We start from the raw sequence: 18,523 nt of genomic DNA, 5'->3' as shown, positions 1-18,523 counted from the left end.
TATTTAATTTTTCCTGTTCAGCCAATGAACGGGGACACAAAGCCCAAGAAGAATCGTGGAATCCAAAAGCACAAACCTTATATCAAAGAATAAGATGACAGAAGGTACCAACTCTTATTGTAGATGAGGAAACCAAGGCTCAGAAATTTGCCCAAAATCTTAGAGCAAATTAGTAGAAATAAAATAAAAATATTGTTATCTAGATATTCCTAGGCCAGGTGTACAGGTATTTCCAACTTTCCTTTTGGTTTTTCACTGATATTCAACAGCCTGGAGCTCATTAATTATCTTGTGATGGTTTTTGCTAAAACAAAATCAAATTCAGGAAAAGGTATATTATTCTAGTTTTTGAACTTCATGGTAGATTGAGAAAATAATTAAAAGTAAATAAAGTCTCCCGCCCTTCCTGAACTATTCGATACTAAAACCATTAGATGGGGCAGAGCAAGAAAGGTTTTTGTGCAAAGGGATTGCCTGATACGGGGTATCAGAGCCTAGGCAGGTAATGAGGACATCCACATGAAGAGAGTAGGAGAGTGTCCAGTGTGGGGAGTCAGAGCCCAAGCAGGGTGAGGAAAGCCTCTCTGCAGAACAGCAGCCAGGTGTGGGAAGTCAGAGCCTGAACAGGGTAAGAAGAATGCCTCTACGTGTGTGCAGCCCAGCAGAGGATAGCAGTGCCCAGGTAGGGTGAGAAGAACAGGGGGTAGGGAGGGGAGGACATGTGTTGGAAGATAGGTTACATACAGGGAGACTGAACAACTAAGTAAACATTAAGGTCAATGGGAGTCAGATTTCTCACGATTTGAAAAGGGAGTCGCAAATATGGAAATGAACTCTGTTGTTTAATTGGAACTTTTAACCGGACTGGAGATGTCAATGTGAATTCAGAGGTTTCAATAGATAGATACAGAAATAAATACACACAGACATATACACCCTACCCCTGTTCACTGAGAGAAACTCTCTGCAGCAAAACCCAAATAGCAATGGGTACACCTGGCATCCAGGTCTTGGCTTCTAAAAGGAAACAGGACTTAAAGAAATGGCTGATCCCAGGGTGGAGGTATGAAAATTGTAAGATGAACCCAGAATATTTTATAGTGCCAAAAAGTACTAAAGTGTTCAAAAAACAACGGAGACAAGTCAAAAGGACACAGAAAGCATTATGAAGGAGTTTCTACTGGCCAAATATGGAACAATCTGAAGATCAAAATAAATAATGAAAATAATTGACTATAACCCATAGGGTAAAATAGGAAACCATGAATTTATTTATATTGATATGAACAAATAAATTGAAAATGTAATGAGGAAAACAATATTTACATAGTTTTAAAGTAACTTCTTGCCAGATGCTTATTATTATAAAGGGAAAAACAGAAACTTCATAGTGGTAAAGATACGAAGTTTCAGACAGCACTTTAATCAGGTGAACAATGTGAATATCAACAGTAATGGGATAAATCAAAATTATGCAGTGCCCAGTGAGATGTAATGAGAACACAGCACCACTTCTATACCTTCTAAAGAAGTATAACCTAAATCTAACATGAGGAACCCCCGGACAAACCCCAAATGAGGGACACTGCACAAAACATCTGGCTTGTAATCTTCCAAAGTATTAGTCATGAAAGTAATAAAAGAACTGAGAAACTGTCCCAGACTGAAGAAGACTAAAGAGACAGGAAAATTAAGACAACATGTGATTCTGAATCGAATCTTTTTATTACAAAGGTTATTATTGGGACAACTGACAAAAATTGAATAGGGATTAAATGGTAAAAATGTATGTGCTAATTTCCTAACTTTCATATTAGGACATGTAGAGAATGTTCCTATTTTTAAAAAAATACTAAATTTTTTGAAGTTGTGGTCAACATCTTACTCCCAAGTGGTTCAGAAAAAAAAAAGTTATCGGTACTGTACTTGCAGCTTTTATGTATTTAAAATTGCTTTTTAAAAATTATTTTAAAAAAAGAAAGGCGGCTGCTTGATGAGGTCTATTAGATTAATTTATTGCTTTACACCAAGCATTACATTTAAGACTGTTTGGCGCCATCAAGTGTTCAAATACATGTATGTTCACTTTAATTTGAAAACTGACCCTACTGGATCTTTTCTTTATGCCAGGTACAGTAGATACTGGGCCAACACAGGTAAATAAAAGAACACTCCTGTTATCAAGAAGTTCATAAAATTTGATAAGAGGACAAGACAGATATTCATAATTCACTGTGATAATTGCTATAATAGAGATGACAACCACAGCAAACTCCCTTAGGACAGGAAGAGCGGTCAAGTTTAAGCACAAAACTCCATCTCTTCTACTTCCTGTTATTATGTGGTAGGCATATGTCAGGCAGCACTTTTCTACTAGAGTAGGCCCATCCACACATGTGGTTTTTCAGCTTTTTATTCATGAGGCTGGCTGCATAAATTTCACAGCTCCACAATGACTTAAGGAAATAGGGCTACGAAGGCCCACTTGGGCTGTCAGGCCTCAGCTTTAGGTGCCAGTACACTGTATTAGAGAAACCTCAGATTTGTGGGTCTTGGGCACTTGACAGTTATATACTTCATTTTCGTATCCCTCGTGGACACAGCTTTCTTGGCAGGGAACCCCAGAAAATAAAGGGCAAGTGAAAGAATTCAGGTACCAAAACCCCACTGTAAATTTGCCTGTTTTCACTGTATCTCTGTGTTTCATGTCATCTCTTAGAGCTGAACTTTCATGCCTTTCAAAATCATCTTTATATCCCCAGGGCCAGAAGCCTGCGGAACACAATAAATGTGTATTGAATTGAAAGCTGCAGCAAGAGAATAAAGTTTTAAAAGCACCTGGTCTTTGTGTAGCATTTATCTTCAAAAACCTTCATAAATGCAAAAAAAATTATATTCAATGCCAACTCTGAAACAAACTGTATTTTCATGAAGTCTTTTCTAAATCTACATGGTCCATCTTCTATAGTGGCTTTATCCTACTTGGACTGAGAATACACCACCTTTCACAAAGTTAATGGGCTATCTTAAGGCAGAAGCCAGTGCTAAATCTATTAAAGTTATTCAAATAAAACAATAAATAAATATCAACCTATTGACTTAGAAAATAGTTTCTTAAGGTTAATTTTTAATCTACTTCTAAAAAAAACTGAAAGAAAACAATCTAGAAGAAAAGAGACATATCAAAAAAGGATGTTTACTTTTCTATTTTCCATAAGCCCCTTCATCTTACCACCCTCAAATATTAAAAATAATCCCAACATTTTCTTTAATTTAAAAGTACACATTTGGTTGTCTCTAACCTGAAAGAATGCTCGAGCTTCTTTATACCTACACTCAATAAACCTAGAGTGTGGTACTTCTTCTACAAAGTGCATTGGATCCTTTGGAATGAGAACTTCCAGTCCATCAACAGTAACTTGCTGTAACTCTGGCCTGAAAACAAAAGTTAAGATTTATTAATGAGGGGTGGGGGAAACAGGGAGGGAGAACATTAGGACAAATACCTAATGCGTGCAGAGCTTAAAACCTAGATAACAGGTTGATAGGTGCAGCAAACTACCATGGCACATGTATACCTATGTAACAAACCTGCACGTTCAGTACATGTGTCCCACTACTTAAAGTAAAATTTAAAAATAATAATAATAATAATAAAAGATTTATTAAAAGGATTTAACCCAGAATACTGGCAGCCTCTTACAAATATCAAACATTAGCAAAATACCTAAACATCAAGCATAGTTTCATCAATTATGTCAGATATCAATTAGCAATTTTAATAAGACCTTGAAAAATCTGACATCAAACAGTTGAGTTTTAATTATTTTGGTTAATGTATTTATATATTAATATATTTGTACTTGTTCATACACACTTGGCATTTTAAGCAGAAACAAAAATTTTGTGACATAATTTTTAATTATCAGTTTACTTTTAGAGAAGTAAATGTTTTTAACACTTAAGACACACAAGTTAATTACAATGGCCTGAGAATCTCATTAATGGGTAAAATGCTAATCTGCAAATCTATCTTATGTATTTTGGATCCCATACTCTAAAAATATTATTTGAGAGTTTTCCATTCCTACTCATATAAAATTTTACAATGTAGAGATAGCTTTTATCTATTGTCACATGTTTATGTTTAATAAGTAACTCACAATTTTGAACTTTACTAAGTTATTAAATTTTGAAATAAATTCACAAAGCTTTAAAAAACTAAAAGATAATGTCTCCCTAAAGAAGGTCATTTGAAATACAGAATAAGAAAAAAACAGGCAAAAAAGTGGTAAGAGAACAGTGAGTATTAAGATTTTTGATTAAAATAAGAGAAGCCAATAATAAAAACAAAGTATTGTTCTCCATCTCTACTCATTTTTTTTGGTCATTTTGAAAATATGGCTTGGTTCAGAAAAGTTCCGACTTTTCATACACAAAAAATATAGAAGACTTCAGTTTCGAATACCTTTTTCAGTCATTCTCAAATATGTGACTTTAAGTACTAATAAGAAGGCAATCTCACATGATTCCAGATAGAGAGAAAACATATATATATAATATATATATATATTTTTAAAAGAAGGCAAGAATAAACATACTCTTACACTTCTCAAGTGTAACAGATAAGAATTATCTCACTGGAAGTTACTAAGAAGGAGTTTTTAATGTGAAAATCCTTACAAATATTTACTGCTACCTTTACATCAGATTCTGCTATTCAAAGTAGACTGTAACATCATTATCGCTGATTTCAAAAGGAGAATAAAAGGAACAATTCTAGGTTAGAAACTTCATACTCCAAGTATAACTTCAAGAATGTTTTTAATCCTGTAATTGTTAATATTATAAACTATAGCTAATCAAATTTTACATGAGTTCCTTCAAATAACTGTTTCTCACAAGAAATATTTTTATTATTGAGATAGCCAAAGATAAATTTTTGCACATGGTTTTAAAAAATATATAGGAAAGTGCATAACATAAAGGCACAAAATAATGAATTATAAAGTAAACACCAAAGTCTCCACCACAGAAATAAAATTCTTCCAGTTTCCCTGTAGTTCTCTGTGTCCTCTATCTAGTCTTTTTTGGTACGTCTTGCTTAGCCTTCTTAATACTTTTACTATAAGGGTATACATCCATGAACATAATTTAGCATGTGTTTGAACTTTTTATAAAAGTAATAATAGAATTTACTTTCACTTTTGTATTTTCAATTTTTGTAGGTACATAGTAGGTGTGTATACTTATGGGTTACATGCAATATTTTGATACAAGCATGCAATGCATAATAATCACATCAGAGTAAATGGGGTATCTATCACCTCAAGCATTTATCCTTTGTATTAAACAATCCAAGTATACTTTTAGTTATTTTAAAATGTACAATTATTTTTTACTATAGTCACCTTGTTGTCCTAGCAAATACTCAGTCTTATTCATTATTTCTAACTATTTTTTTGTACCCATTAACCATCCCCCTCTTCCCCTCTTTCTCCCACTATGCTTCCTAGCCTCTGATAACCATCATTCTACTCTCTATCTCCATGAGTTCAGTTATTTTCATTTTTCACTCCCACAAATAAGTGAGAACATGGAAAGTTTGTCTTTCTGTGCCTGGCTTATTTCACTTAATATAATGATCTCCAGTTCTATCCATGTTGTTGCAAATGACAGGATCTCATTCTTTTTTATGGCTGAATAGTACTCCATTGTGTGTATGTACCACATTTTCTTTTGGCTATATTGTTAGTTATCAACAGTGGTTATATTATTCCTAATATTAACTTAAATACAGTTTCCAAACTTACTGATTTTGAAATGCTGAAGTAATACGGTATTTTAAAGATTAGTTCATAATTTATCTAAATGTTTCTAGAGAGGTTTAATTTCAAAGTGGGAAAATAAATTAGTCTTACCACACAATTTGTTCTTTATATTAAAATAAAGACAGCAAAAATCAATATACTGTCTTATAATCCATATTATTTCTGTTCAAAAAGTTATGGTCTCAGCCTTTAAAGGATAGTTCACTTAAACTTTTTTGGTATGATTATGAAGCTGTGTATACATATATATCATTGTTTATTAATGAATAAAAGAAACTTTTGAATGGAAAAAAATAATAATAATAATAGAATTTAGATTCTTTTGTGCCTTGTGTCATTCAGCATTGTAGGATTCATCCACAATGTGCACAGACCCCTAGTTTATTTTTCCCTGCTGTGTAATACTTCATTGTATGAACACATATATCAAAAATTATTTATTCCTTTACAGTTTTTTTTTTTTTTTTGAGACAAAGTCCTGCTCTGTTGCCCAGCCTAGAGTGTGGTATCACAATCTCGGCTCACTACAACCTCCACCTCCAGGGCTCAAGCAATTCTCCTTCCTCAGCCTCCCCAGTAGCTGGGATTACAGGCACCCACCACAATGCATGGATAATTTTTGTATTTTTTTGTAGAGACGAGGTTTCACCATGTTGGCCAGGCTGGTCTCGAACTCCTGACCTCAGGTGATCTGCCCACCTCGGCCTCCCAAAGTGCTGGGATTACATGCATGAGCCACAGTGCCCAGCCAATCCTTTTATTGTTGAAGGACATTTGGGTGGCTTCTAATTTGGAGTCATTAAGAATAATGTTACTGTAAATACTTATATAAATTATATATTAGATTTCAATACTCAAATGTAAAAACACTGCAAGAATTATGACTGAACAACACTCATTTCACATTTCACGTTTTGACTCTGAACTTACCTGTCAAAAGCTCCTGGATAACGACCAAACTGTAACTTTCGGAAGGGAACAAATTTCCTGTCAATGTGTTCTTTAAGTCTCAAGTGGCCGTGCCAGAGGTAGTTGCCACTCCTCTCATGAAAGACTACCAAGTGGATCGCATGAGTGGCCAGTTTGCAGATATAGTGCAGGGGGATTTCAGTTCCAGAGAGTGAGTCTATCCCGTCTAGCCGGGGATCTTTACTCTCAATCTTTAGGCACTGAAATCCCATATTCTCAGCTATCCGAAACCAGCCTTCCTAGAACCAAAGAAGCATCAAACATCAAGAAACAACACTTAAACATTGAATATTTAAAGCCAAATACTAGTAGCAAAACTAAAGTGATTCTTATATTGAACTTGAGCCATATTTTTGTGCTAATCTGCTCTGTAAGAACATTTTTTAATGAGGGTGATGGGCAGAAGGTAGTGGTGGGAGAATAAAGGAAAGCAGCAAAAATACAAAGTATGTAGCAGGAAAGATATAGCCAAAGACTCTCTTTATAGGTTGGGCACCATAGCTCACCCCTGTAATCCCAGCGCTTTGGGAGGCTGAGGCAGGTGGATCACTTGAGCTCAGGAGTTTGAGACCAGCCTGGGCAACCTGTCTCTACAAAAAATACAAACAAAAATTTGCCAAGGTGTGGTGGCATGTACCTGTAGTCCCAGCTACTTGGGGGTCTGAGCCAGGAGGATCACTTGAACCTGAGAGATCAAGGCTGCAGTGAGCCAAGATTGTGCCACTGCACTCAAGCCTGGGTGACAAAGTGAGACCCTGTCTCAAAAAAAAAAAACAAAAAAAACTCTATGAAAATTAATACAAATCCCTTCCTTGGAATGAGAATGCTCATGTTAGTGTTTTCCAGTTAGTTTCTATAAAGTAAATGTTGATTTAAGGACAGCACTTAAAATTAAACTTGTAATTCTTAATTTAACTTTTAATAACCTTTATCTTCAAAAGTACTTCAAAAAAGTAGTTCTTTCATCTCATAGTTTACATCCCAACATCTTAAAATACTACCATAATAGAACACCATCATAATGCAAATCATTAGAAATTAACAAACATACTGTAAGACAAGGTTCATTTTCCAACATCATTTGTTTCATTATCAACTGTAACATTCCCTTCTTCCCTTTTCTTTCTTGGTACACCTTAGAAGTAGAAAGCACTGACTGAGGGGGAGGGTAGCCAATTCAGAGAAAGACACTACTGAATAGAATAAAAGAAAGGCATTATCAGCTGACAAATTCAGGAAATATTTAAAAGGCCGGCCAGAACTTGAGAAGAACGTGACCTTGGGTTATAGGAGGAAAGACTGACAGACAAAATAGGCAGAATTATGATATGGTTTGCTTTCTTATAACCATCAACAAGAGAAGTAAAGAACAAAATAGTTGCTCTGATCAATTGGTGTAAAGGCCTAGGTCAAGGTTTTGCTAGAAAAGTCCACTCCCAGTAGCCTTGGCAGAGGTTTGCTCACTTTATGGTAATGGCATTAATAAAGAAAAATCACATGCAAATGGAGTCTTTCATTATTAGATCTAACAATCTGATTAGCTCCACATTGGGGGATGTTTTAGGGGGGACTATCCAAGGGCTCTTGAATCTCTTGAATAGTAGGATGTCATATGTACAAAAGGAGAAACTTTTGGGAGGCTGAGGCAGGTGGATCATTTGAGGTCAGGAGTTCAAGACCAGCCTGGCCAATATGGTGAAACCCCGTCCCTACTAAAAAAAAATACAAAAATCAGTCACACGTGGTGGCACACGCCTGTAATCCCAGCTACTCAGGAGGCTGAGGCAGGAGAATCCCTTGAGCCTGGGAGGCGGAGATTGCAGTGAACAGAGATTGCACCACTGCACTCCAGCCTGGGTGACACAGCGAGACTCCGTCTCAAAAAACAAAAACAAAAACAAAAAACCCAACACAAACAAACAAAAACAAACGAAGAATAAACTTGAACCCATGTGCTGATTCTGGGTATGGCTGAGCTTTTGCTTCTTCCTCTTGACTATGGTAGTATCAGTTTTGCCAATGGTGGCATACTCCCCTTCTTCTAAAATAGTGGTTCTCAAGGCAAGTGGGACTGTACCCAACAGATACTTCAGAAATTTGGGGGGATATTTTTGGTTTATCATAATGACAAACTGGCATTTAGAGTCCTAGGCCAAGAACATTAGATATCCTACAATCCAAAATATGAAAATCTATCCTGTGTACTATGTAATTTCAAATGTCCTGTCACATAATCACATAGTGAAAAACTTGTTTATAATTGTCTGAGCTTTTATTTCTCAGGAATACAATAGTCATGTCAATGAAGAGACAATTTTACTTTTTTTGTTGTTGGAAACTTGCTCACTATTTTGGAAAATCATATTGCCAACAACAATATCATTCATAGTATGGGTTTATATTTGTAGCTACCACATTCTGTGATCCTACTTCTAAATACAAGCATCTGAATTACTTTATTATGTCTTCCAGTGTAGTCATTCTGGAGCATCTGCACACAGCAATACATATCATTTCCTTTTATTTCTAGGTTATATTATAGTTAATACATTATATTGATTTGGGGAATTATGTATATAGGAGGGTTATAATTTCTATGAACTTCATTTGGGGAATATAAAGGGACATTATAAAATATTCTTTGTAAAAATAAGCCTTGTAGGCTTTTTCTATGAGATATCAAACAGTTCAACAGAAATGACCTAAAAATACCGATATTGAGAAGTTTCCCCCAGCAAAAAAGCAGAATCTTTCCTCTCATCTTCCTGTTGTGAACATGGATGTGATATGTGGAGCTACGACAGCTATCCTGTGATAATGAGGTAAATGAATAAAGAATTTCAGAGACACAAGTCCTGACATCAGTGGCTAGCTAAACTAATATCAATAGCCACTAACCTTTTAACCTCTCATTATATAAGAAAAAGAAATCCCCTATTTGCCTTAGTGATTAGTTGTATTGTTATTTATAGCTGAAAATATTCCTGATACAATTTATAAAGTGTTTCAGGAAAAATTTTTAATGTTTTACATTTTAAACTAGCCTAAACCTATACTATTTTGTAAAAAGAGACACATTCCATTATCTGAAAGCAAGTCACTTACCTCATTCTTCCATAGGTGATACTGCAGTGCAAATGCAGTAAAGTCTCTTGGAACACAGAAAAACTTGCATTGTGAAGTAGAGCCATGAGAAGTATTTTTGACTTGTTCAAAGTTCTTATTAATCAATTCCAGTATCAAAGGATCAATAAGAAACACTGGTACATTTTGGTTGGATGTTAACATAATAAATTTTTTAACTGCACGCTGTTTGAGAGAAAAAGAATTCTCGTAATTCCAGTAAGCCAACACAACAGTCTATTTTATAACATTTTAATTCATTAATTGTATAAGAATGCAGAGTAGTTACCCAATAGATACCATGCTTATCATTGTGCTAAAAAATACAAATGATTAAATAGCACATATGGTCTCTGCTCTCAATAAGCAGTCTTCTAAGAAAGATGAACATTTTCAATATAAGGTGAAATATGCTACAAGAAAAACATATACAACATATTATAAAAGTACAGACCAGTAAGCTACAAATTTACCATACATCAAAAGGATAAGAAATTTCACAGAGGAAGTGGTATCTGACATGAAAATGTGGTGCTTAAAAAATTATTCTCTTAGTATTAGCTAAATCTTTTCAAGCAAAATTGAGAGAACTATCCGTCAGCTTTTAAAAATCAGTCTTGTTAATCTTTCAAAAACAAAATTCAGTTGTTTGTACCATTTTTCTTCATATCTGTAATGCTGCTTAATAATCTTTCTAAGCAAAAGACTCAGACCAAAATACACTGCCTGCTTGATGACTGCCATATATAATGTGCTTTTCTAATACTGCAATATTTCAAAATATAACTCTGCTGGGTAGTAAGTAGGGTCCCCTACTGAAAAAAACAAAAATTCAACAGTAGAATGAAAATGGACTAAATCACACTTAGGAATAAGTAATATCTAAGAACAGCAAGGATAAACAGAATATCTGGCATACACTATTGCTTAAAAGCCTACTTCAATGAAAGCAAGACTTATAGGAATGTTTGCCTATCAAAAAGGTGCTTCATGAAATTAAGAATAAATTCTTATTCAGAAAATCTGAAGGAACTCATAAAAATATATACAAGATAAATAAATAGACAAAATATCAATTGTAAGGATAAAGGATGAGATAAAGCTAAGAATCAGTCTCATTATTTGTTTTTAGTGTAGAGTATTATGCAAATGCCAAGAATACAATAATCTCTGCCTTATAGGGGTTTATTACCTCAGTGTGAGAAACAGCTAAGTAAAAAGTTAGGATAAACAATGTTACACCAAAAAATTCAACTTAGATGACACAAATTTCTTTAAAAATACAATTTAACAAAACTGCCACAAGATGAAACAAAATCTGAATTGCCCTATACCTATTAAAGAAACTGAATTTGTTAGGAAAAAAAAAAACTGCCCTCAAAACAACAAGGAAAAACTTCAGACTTAGACAGTTCACTGGTGAATTCTATCATTTTTAAGGAAGAATACCAATTCTACAAAAACTTTCTGAGAAAATGGAGCAGGAGAAAATACTTCCTATCTGATTTTAAGAGGCCAGTGCCATACTCAACAGCAAAACTTCTCACGCCTGTAATCCCAGCACTGTGGGAGGTCAAGGCAGGTGGATCACCTGAGGTCAGGAGTTCAGGACCAGCCTGGCCAACATGGTGAAACCCTGTCTCTACTAAAAATACAAAAATTAGCCGGGCGTGGTGGTGTGTGCCTGTAGTCCCAGCAACTCAGGAGGCTGAGGCAGGAGAATCACTTGAACCCGGGAGGTGGAGGTTGCAGTGAGCCGAGATCACAAGGTGGAGGTTGCAGTGAGCCGAGATCACATGGCTGCACTCCAGCCTGGGCGACAGAGAGACTTCATCTCAAAAAAAAAAAAAAAAAAGCAAAACCTGACAAAGACCTTACAAAAAAAAGTATAGTCCACCATCCCTCATGAACACAGATGCAAAAATACTTAATAAAATATTAGAAAATCAATTCCAGTAACTAAAAAAAGATAAAAAAGGAAAGTAAATATCATGACCAAGTAGTATTTATCCTAGGAATGAAAGCTTACTTTAGCATTTGAAAATCAATCAATAAAATTTGACAAATCAACAGAAAAAAGTGAAAAACTATGATAATTTCAATATAGAAAAAAGCATTTGACAAAATTCAGTATCTATTCATGATTTAAAACTTTCAGCAAACCAGGAATAAAATACATCCTCAACTTGATGAAAGGCATGAACAAAAAATCTATTACTGAGTCGTGTGGGAGTTCTTCATATATCTTTGATACCATTCCTTTGTGAGATACATGTTTTACAAATATTTGCTACTCTGTGGCATGCTTATTCATTTTCTTAATAGTGTTTTTTGATGACTAGAAGTTTAAAATTTTAATAGTCCAATTTAGCTATTTTGTGTGTGTGTGTGTGTGTGTCTTTTAGGGTTATTACTTTCTGTGCTTTATACTAGGAAAAAAACAAGAAAGAAATGGTTTTGGAAGAAAGATGAGATAACAGAACTACTACATAAAAGGTACTTTAATGTTTGTTGAATGGATCTCAGGTTGGTGTTAAATACAAATATGATGAACACACTTATAGCTTCATTACCATTATTAATATAAATACAGATTAGGTCAGGGTCAAGCAGAGATTCTATAACTCACCTTCTAAACACATCCTCCAAGTTGTTATCAATACAATCATTAACGCTCCTTGGAAACGTGTCCAGTTGATTCTAAATCCAATTAATTCTAAATCACTATTATCATCTGACCTTCAGTAACTCATTTTGTTTATAAGACTGAAAAACATCTTGTTGAAAAGAGATTATGCTGAGACCATAATAGCCCATTCATCTGCCTGTGTATTAAAATTTTATTAAAACCTAAAAAGTCTTGGCAGGACTTGTTCTTAGTAAAAGCCTAGTTCCTAATTATGATCATTTTCTTTTCTAAGTGCTCCCAAGTCATCTGTTTAATAACTCCATAAACATTGAGCCCTAGAATTTTACCAGGGCTCAATATCACACTATTGATGAGATTTCACCTTTTATTCCTTCTAAAAGTTTAGAAGTATGTTAGTACTTCTCCTTTCCTGTGATTTTGCAAATATAGTCATTCAGTGACCACATTTACAATTTTTTTTAGTCCCCTCAATGTAAAAGAGTATAAAGAGAACTCACTGAATGTGGTAAGCTGCTCTTCAACTTTTTGCTTGCGTACCGTGGAAGTAAAGACTTTGAAAAAAATCCATTATTTTCTCCCACCTCAAGGATCATTTCTTGAATGAAAAGGATAGAGTCACGCTACTTTTTTCTATTATTTTAAGCTTTAAATTTTTCACAAATTCCATTTTAAAATGTATCAGTGAACCTGTACTTTCTCTGACTGCTCTCTCTATTTACTAAAAGGTTTGGGAATGTTGTCAGAATGTTGTTGGTTAATACCGATAAAGGAAAACCTTTTATCCAACTGAAGCTACTACGGCTTTAAATTTTTTGCTGAAATTGCTTTACAGTGTACAGATGAAGACTCCTAATAAATGGCAAATCTGAAAAATATATGTTTCTCTAAGTATCATCACATCTTATAATGTTAAAATGTATGAAAGATCACCCCTGTTGCCTTTGGCTGTTAAAATACTGAATTTTAAATCTCAGCAAATTACTTCAACCACAAGATGATAAATCAGGTCCAAGTATTAGGTGTATGTGTTTCCTAAGGGTGGGATGGAGGTAGAGAAGTGTTACAGAGAAGCATACAAAATACCTCTTTTTAATTTAATCTAAAATCTTTATAACTGTGACTGGGTAGTATAACTTCCAAGTATATCATGCTTACCTTTATCCTCAGAATACCCTAAATTCACAGAGCAAAACAATTGCTATTTTTAATAAATTAAAAGTTTACATTGACACTTATAGACTAGAGAGCTGGGGAGCCTGATAATAGGATATCCCAGACTTTACTTTTAAACAGTAGTTCAAAATCTACTTGGTGTTAGCAATGATCTAAAATGACCACTGCTTGGTGATCTGAAAATCCACTTCTAATTTAAAGTGTTCCACATCTCTAGTTATAGAGAAGCCAAAGATTGAAGTGTATCAAGAAATATCTGGTCATTCCCATAATGTATGCTAACAGAATAAATGTTGTGTTTTATTAGTAACCCAGCAATGTTTTTCTTTCTAAATTTAGTTTTAAAACATAGGAAAATATATTTTATCAATGTGTAGGTTCTGAAATTTCTAAAACAAAACAAGGATATATTGTATATATTGCTGGTTTCCCCTCATCTTATAAAGGAATAGGTTGAATAGATTTTTATTCCTGATCATTACTTTTCCCTTATTCAAATAAATCTGATTCATATATTCATTCATTTAGGGAAACACCATAGCTCAGTGAATGTGGGTTTTAGAGGCAGACAGAATCTGGTCTTACCAAATTATCAGCCAACTAAGTTTAATCTCTCTAAGTGAATTGAGAGTAACAATATTTACTCACTTCTTAAACTTTCTATAGGGACTAAATAAGACATTGCATAAAGCACTTGGTAAAGGGCCTGTCCCTTACCTGCCACTACCAACCGGCCACCCACCACACAAGGTAGCTATTATTATTGCCATCATTCAACAAATACTTACGGAGTAAATGAATGAACTAAATGAACATTATAATTGAGAAATTTCTTGTTTATTCTACATACCCACTGTGTGCTATCAAATCCAATTCGGCTTCCTTTGGATTTTGACAAACCAGCTCCATTCTAGGAAGACAACAAAAGAACTTTTTAGTAAATTCAAAGTCCAGCATGCAACATTACATTTCAGTTAGGCATGAGATTCAAAATATAATTAGCTTATAATCATTAAAAAGCATTATCAAATATCTATTTTTCATATAGTCATGAGCTAAGAATTCTACATTTTTATGATATAAAAATCCAAGATGGAAAACATCGATAGATTTGTAGTAAGTTAATTAAGTTATTAAATAATAAGGTAGACATGGTCAACATCTCTGAACCAATTAATTTCCATCAATGAATGGCAAACTCTTTGGAATTAGGGTTTGTCTGTTAAGGTCTATGTCTATATCTGCAATCTCAACATATTGCCATATATAAAATTAGTGTTTGTAGACTTTGGCAAAGTGATAAAGTATACTAATGTTTATTGAAGAGCTCGTGTGTTTGACACTTCCATATATCAATTATGTATACTCATTGATCCCTCACAACAATCCTGCAAGGTAAACATTATTATTTGTTTTGCAGATAGCACCAGTATGCACGCTTTGCCTAACATACATCGTAATTTTGAATGTTGAAGTTTTTATAAAAGATATTTCAGGTCTAGAGCATCAGAAGAAAATTATTATGAGTTTTCATCTGGTAGCCCCAAAATACTTTAGAGTAAGAGGAGAAAGAATGTCTGATGTTCTAGAGACAAAAGGAAGAATGTTTCAAGCGTAATGAAGATCCAAATAAGTTTCTTATGCCTTGAGTGCATACGTTATCTATAAGCTATAGATGGGAGGATGCTGAAGAACGATTAGAGTAGTCTCACCCTAAAAATGAAATGTGCTCCAAGTTCCTAAACCTCATTTCCCCATTAAACCTCACATTCAAGGGGAGGGACAAAGTCCAATCCATCTTTGTATAACCAGTAGCACCTAGGATAGTGCTTGATGATTTTTATAGCTTAGTAAAGGTTTGTTAATTGGAAGGGGAGAGGAAGGGATGGAGAGATGAAGATACTAAGTAATTAAGACTGAGCCAGAATTGGTCTCTCCTCACAAGCTCTGCAACTTAGCCAATAACATTTTAATACTAAGGGATGTCTGAGAAAAAAACAACTGTAATCTTGAAACCTGAAAAGAGACTGCAAACATTGTAATACAGCTACTTGTTCACCTTAGTCCTACATTAGTTGATTACAAATACAGCTCAGCTATATTTCTGAGCTGTTCAATTTGTTGAGTTTGGGATAAGCAAATTTCTAGTGAGCTAGCATGTTATTTTTATATAGCTTTATTGAGATATAATTCACATACCATAAAATCTGCCTTTCTAAAGTGATTTTTAGTATGTTTAGAGTTGTGCAACTATTACCACTATCTAATTCCAGAATATTTTAATCACTCCAAAAAGAAACTATGTTCCTATTAACAGCCACTCCCCTTTCCTCCTCCACTCAGCCCCAATCATAACACTAATTATCTTCTCTGTGGATTTGCCCATTATGGACACTACATAAAAATGGAATCATATATGTGGCCTTTTACATCTGGTTTTTCACTAAGCATGATGTTTTCAAAGTTCATTCATGCTGTGGCATGTATCAGTACTTCATTTCCTTTTATGGCTAATATTCCATTGTATATTCATTCATTAGTTGATGAACATTTAGGTTATTTCCAGCTTTTGGCTATTATGAAAAATGCAATCGGAAATATTCATGTTTCACAATCATTCTCTTGTATACACTGACAACTTTCCTCCATCTGACTTCATTTTATTTGCTCAGCAAAGGCCAACTTTCTACTTATTCTGCACCTGCAACTGTGCAGCTAATGTGGCTGCTGACTGATATCACTTTATTATTATTACTATTATTAATGAGACAGGGGTCTCTGTTGCCCAGGCTGGAGTGCAGTGGCGTGATCACGGCTCACTGCAGCCTCAACCTCCCAGACTCAAGTGATACTCCTACCTCAGTCTTCCTAGCAGCTGAAACTATAGAGGCATGCACTACCACACCTGGCTAATTTTTGTATTTTTCATAAAGACAGGTTGTCACCATATTGCCTAGGCTGATCTCAAGTGATCCACTTGCTTCCGCCTCCCAAAGTGCTGGGATTCCAGGTGTGAGACACCATATCTGGCTGATGTCAATTTAAATTCATGACTACTAATCCCAAGTGGGGCTTTAATTCTGCCCAGAAATCATACTACATTCCCCTTGTGTATTAACTGTCTCATTCTCCTAGATGACTTTTCCCCCTTTTTTCTAACACCTCCCTATCCTATCTTTCAACTTATGGCATTGCTTTCTATTTCACTGAGAAAAAAGAAATTTGAAAATAATTTTCAAAAACCCCCACCACATCTTCCCACCTACTGTACAAGAATTATATCCATATAATACACCTTCCCTTCTGTCATAACAGATGAATTGTCTATGTTCCTATCTAAGGCCAGCCTCTCCACTTATGCACTAAATCCCATCCCCCCTTGACTGGACAAAGACATTGCTCCAGCAATTTTTCTTTCTCTGATGGATCATTCCCATCAGTATACAAACATGACTATTATTTATTCCATCTTAAAACACTAATAATTAAAACAAAACACAAAAACTTCTCAACTCCTCTTTTCCCAAAGAACAACTTTCTGTCCCCCATTACAGCAAAACTCCTAATGGGTTGTCTCTTCTCATTGCCTCCAATTCCTCTCCTCCCATGAACTCACTTCATTTTAAATTCACTCTGCTGAGCATCATCAAGATCACCAATGACCTGAACATTGCTAAATCCAACGGTCAATTATCAATACTTATCTTATTTGATATACCAAGAATTGTTGACAACCTCTGCCTCACTGAAACACTTCATTCACTTAGCTCTCTGTATCACCATATTTCTGTTTTTTCTCTGTTTCTCTCTGGCTGCTTCTTTAACTTGTCAGTTCTTCCTACTTCCCTGATGTGTTGGAGGGTCCCAAACCTCAGATGTTGGCACTTTCTTTCTCCCCCTTTAAAAATCTATATTCACTTCCTTAGTATCTCATCTAGTCATATGGCTTTAGACACCATCTATATGCTTACAACACTCCATTTGTACTCCCAACCCACTCTACCCAGACTTATATAGCCAATTGTCTATTCACCTTCTTCATTTGAATGTCAAATAGGCACCTGATGTGCTTTGGATCTGTGCCCCACCAAATCTCATACTGAATTGTAATCCCCAGTGTTGGAGGCAGTACCTGGTGGGAGGTGACTGTATCATGTAAACAGTTTCTCGTGACGGATTTAGCACCATCCCTTTGGTGCTGTTCTTGTGATAATGAGTGAGTGAGTTATCCTGAGATCTAACTGTTTAAAAGACTGTAGCACCTCCTCCCTCTCTCTCTTCTTCCTGCTCCAGCCATATGAAGTGCTGGTTCCGCCTTCACCTTCTGCCATGATTCTAAGTTTCCTGAGGCCTCCACAGAAGCCAAGCAGATGCCAGTATCATGCTTCCTGTACAGCCTCTAGAACAATGAGACAATTAAACTTTCCTTTATAAATTACCCAGTCTTAGGTGTTTCTTTATAGCAATTCGAGAACAGACTAACTACAGAAAATTGGTACCAGGAAAGCAGTGTTGCTGTAAGGTGTCTGAAAATGTGGAAGTAACTTTGGAACTGGGTAATAGGCAAAGGGAAAGTTTGGAGGGCTCAGAAGAAGACAGGAAGATGAGGGAAAATTTGAAACTTCCTAGAGACTTGTTGAATGGTTGTGATCAAGATGCTTATAGTGATATGGACAATGAAGCCCAGGCTAAGGAAGTCTCAGATGGAAATCAGGAATGTATTGGGAGGTGAAGCAAAAAGTCACTTTTGTTATGCCTTAGCAAACAACCTGGCTGC

The 18,523-nt window shown here is 35.1% G+C and overlaps 1 protein-coding gene across 57 annotated transcripts in view, besides 1 other annotated feature; it reads right to left on the bottom strand.

Annotated features, from left to right (window-relative positions):
* Nucleotides 1-18,523, bottom strand: part of FKTN (fukutin) — an 82,989-nt gene that overhangs the window by 29,865 nt on the left and 34,601 nt on the right. For 48 of the 57 annotated variants that reach the window (NR_147213.2, NR_147214.2, XM_047422979.1 and 45 more), the window contains 4 exons: nt 14,597-14,656; nt 9,906-10,109; nt 6,762-7,039; nt 3,303-3,435 (listed from right to left, as the gene is read on the bottom strand). Coding sequence is in view for 55 of the 57 variants with exons in the window: in XM_047422979.1 (XP_047278935.1) it covers nt 3,303-3,435; nt 6,762-7,039; nt 9,906-10,109; nt 14,597-14,656 (675 nt within the window). In the remaining 2 variants the exon portion in view is untranslated. The other 9 variants (NM_001351502.2, NM_001351499.2, NM_001351500.2 and 6 more) reach the window with 5 other exon arrangements.
* Nucleotides 17,610-18,149: an enhancer, noted in NCBI's record as "NANOG hESC enhancer chr9:108355386-108355925 (GRCh37/hg19 assembly coordinates)". NCBI's record gives its function as "activates a minimal SCP1, AML or CMV promoter by ChIP-STARR-seq in naive H9 embryonic stem cells {active_cell/tissue: H9 hESC(naive)}" and the evidence as "EXISTENCE:reporter gene assay evidence [ECO:0000049][PMID:30033119]".

The sequence above is a fragment of the Homo sapiens genome, chromosome 9 (assembly GCF_000001405.40).
Source record: "Homo sapiens chromosome 9, GRCh38.p14 Primary Assembly".
Lineage (NCBI taxonomy): Eukaryota > Metazoa > Chordata > Mammalia > Primates > Hominidae > Homo > Homo sapiens.
Note: the sequence above shows the minus strand (reverse complement) of the source record. Positions and strands in the feature narration are given on the sequence as shown.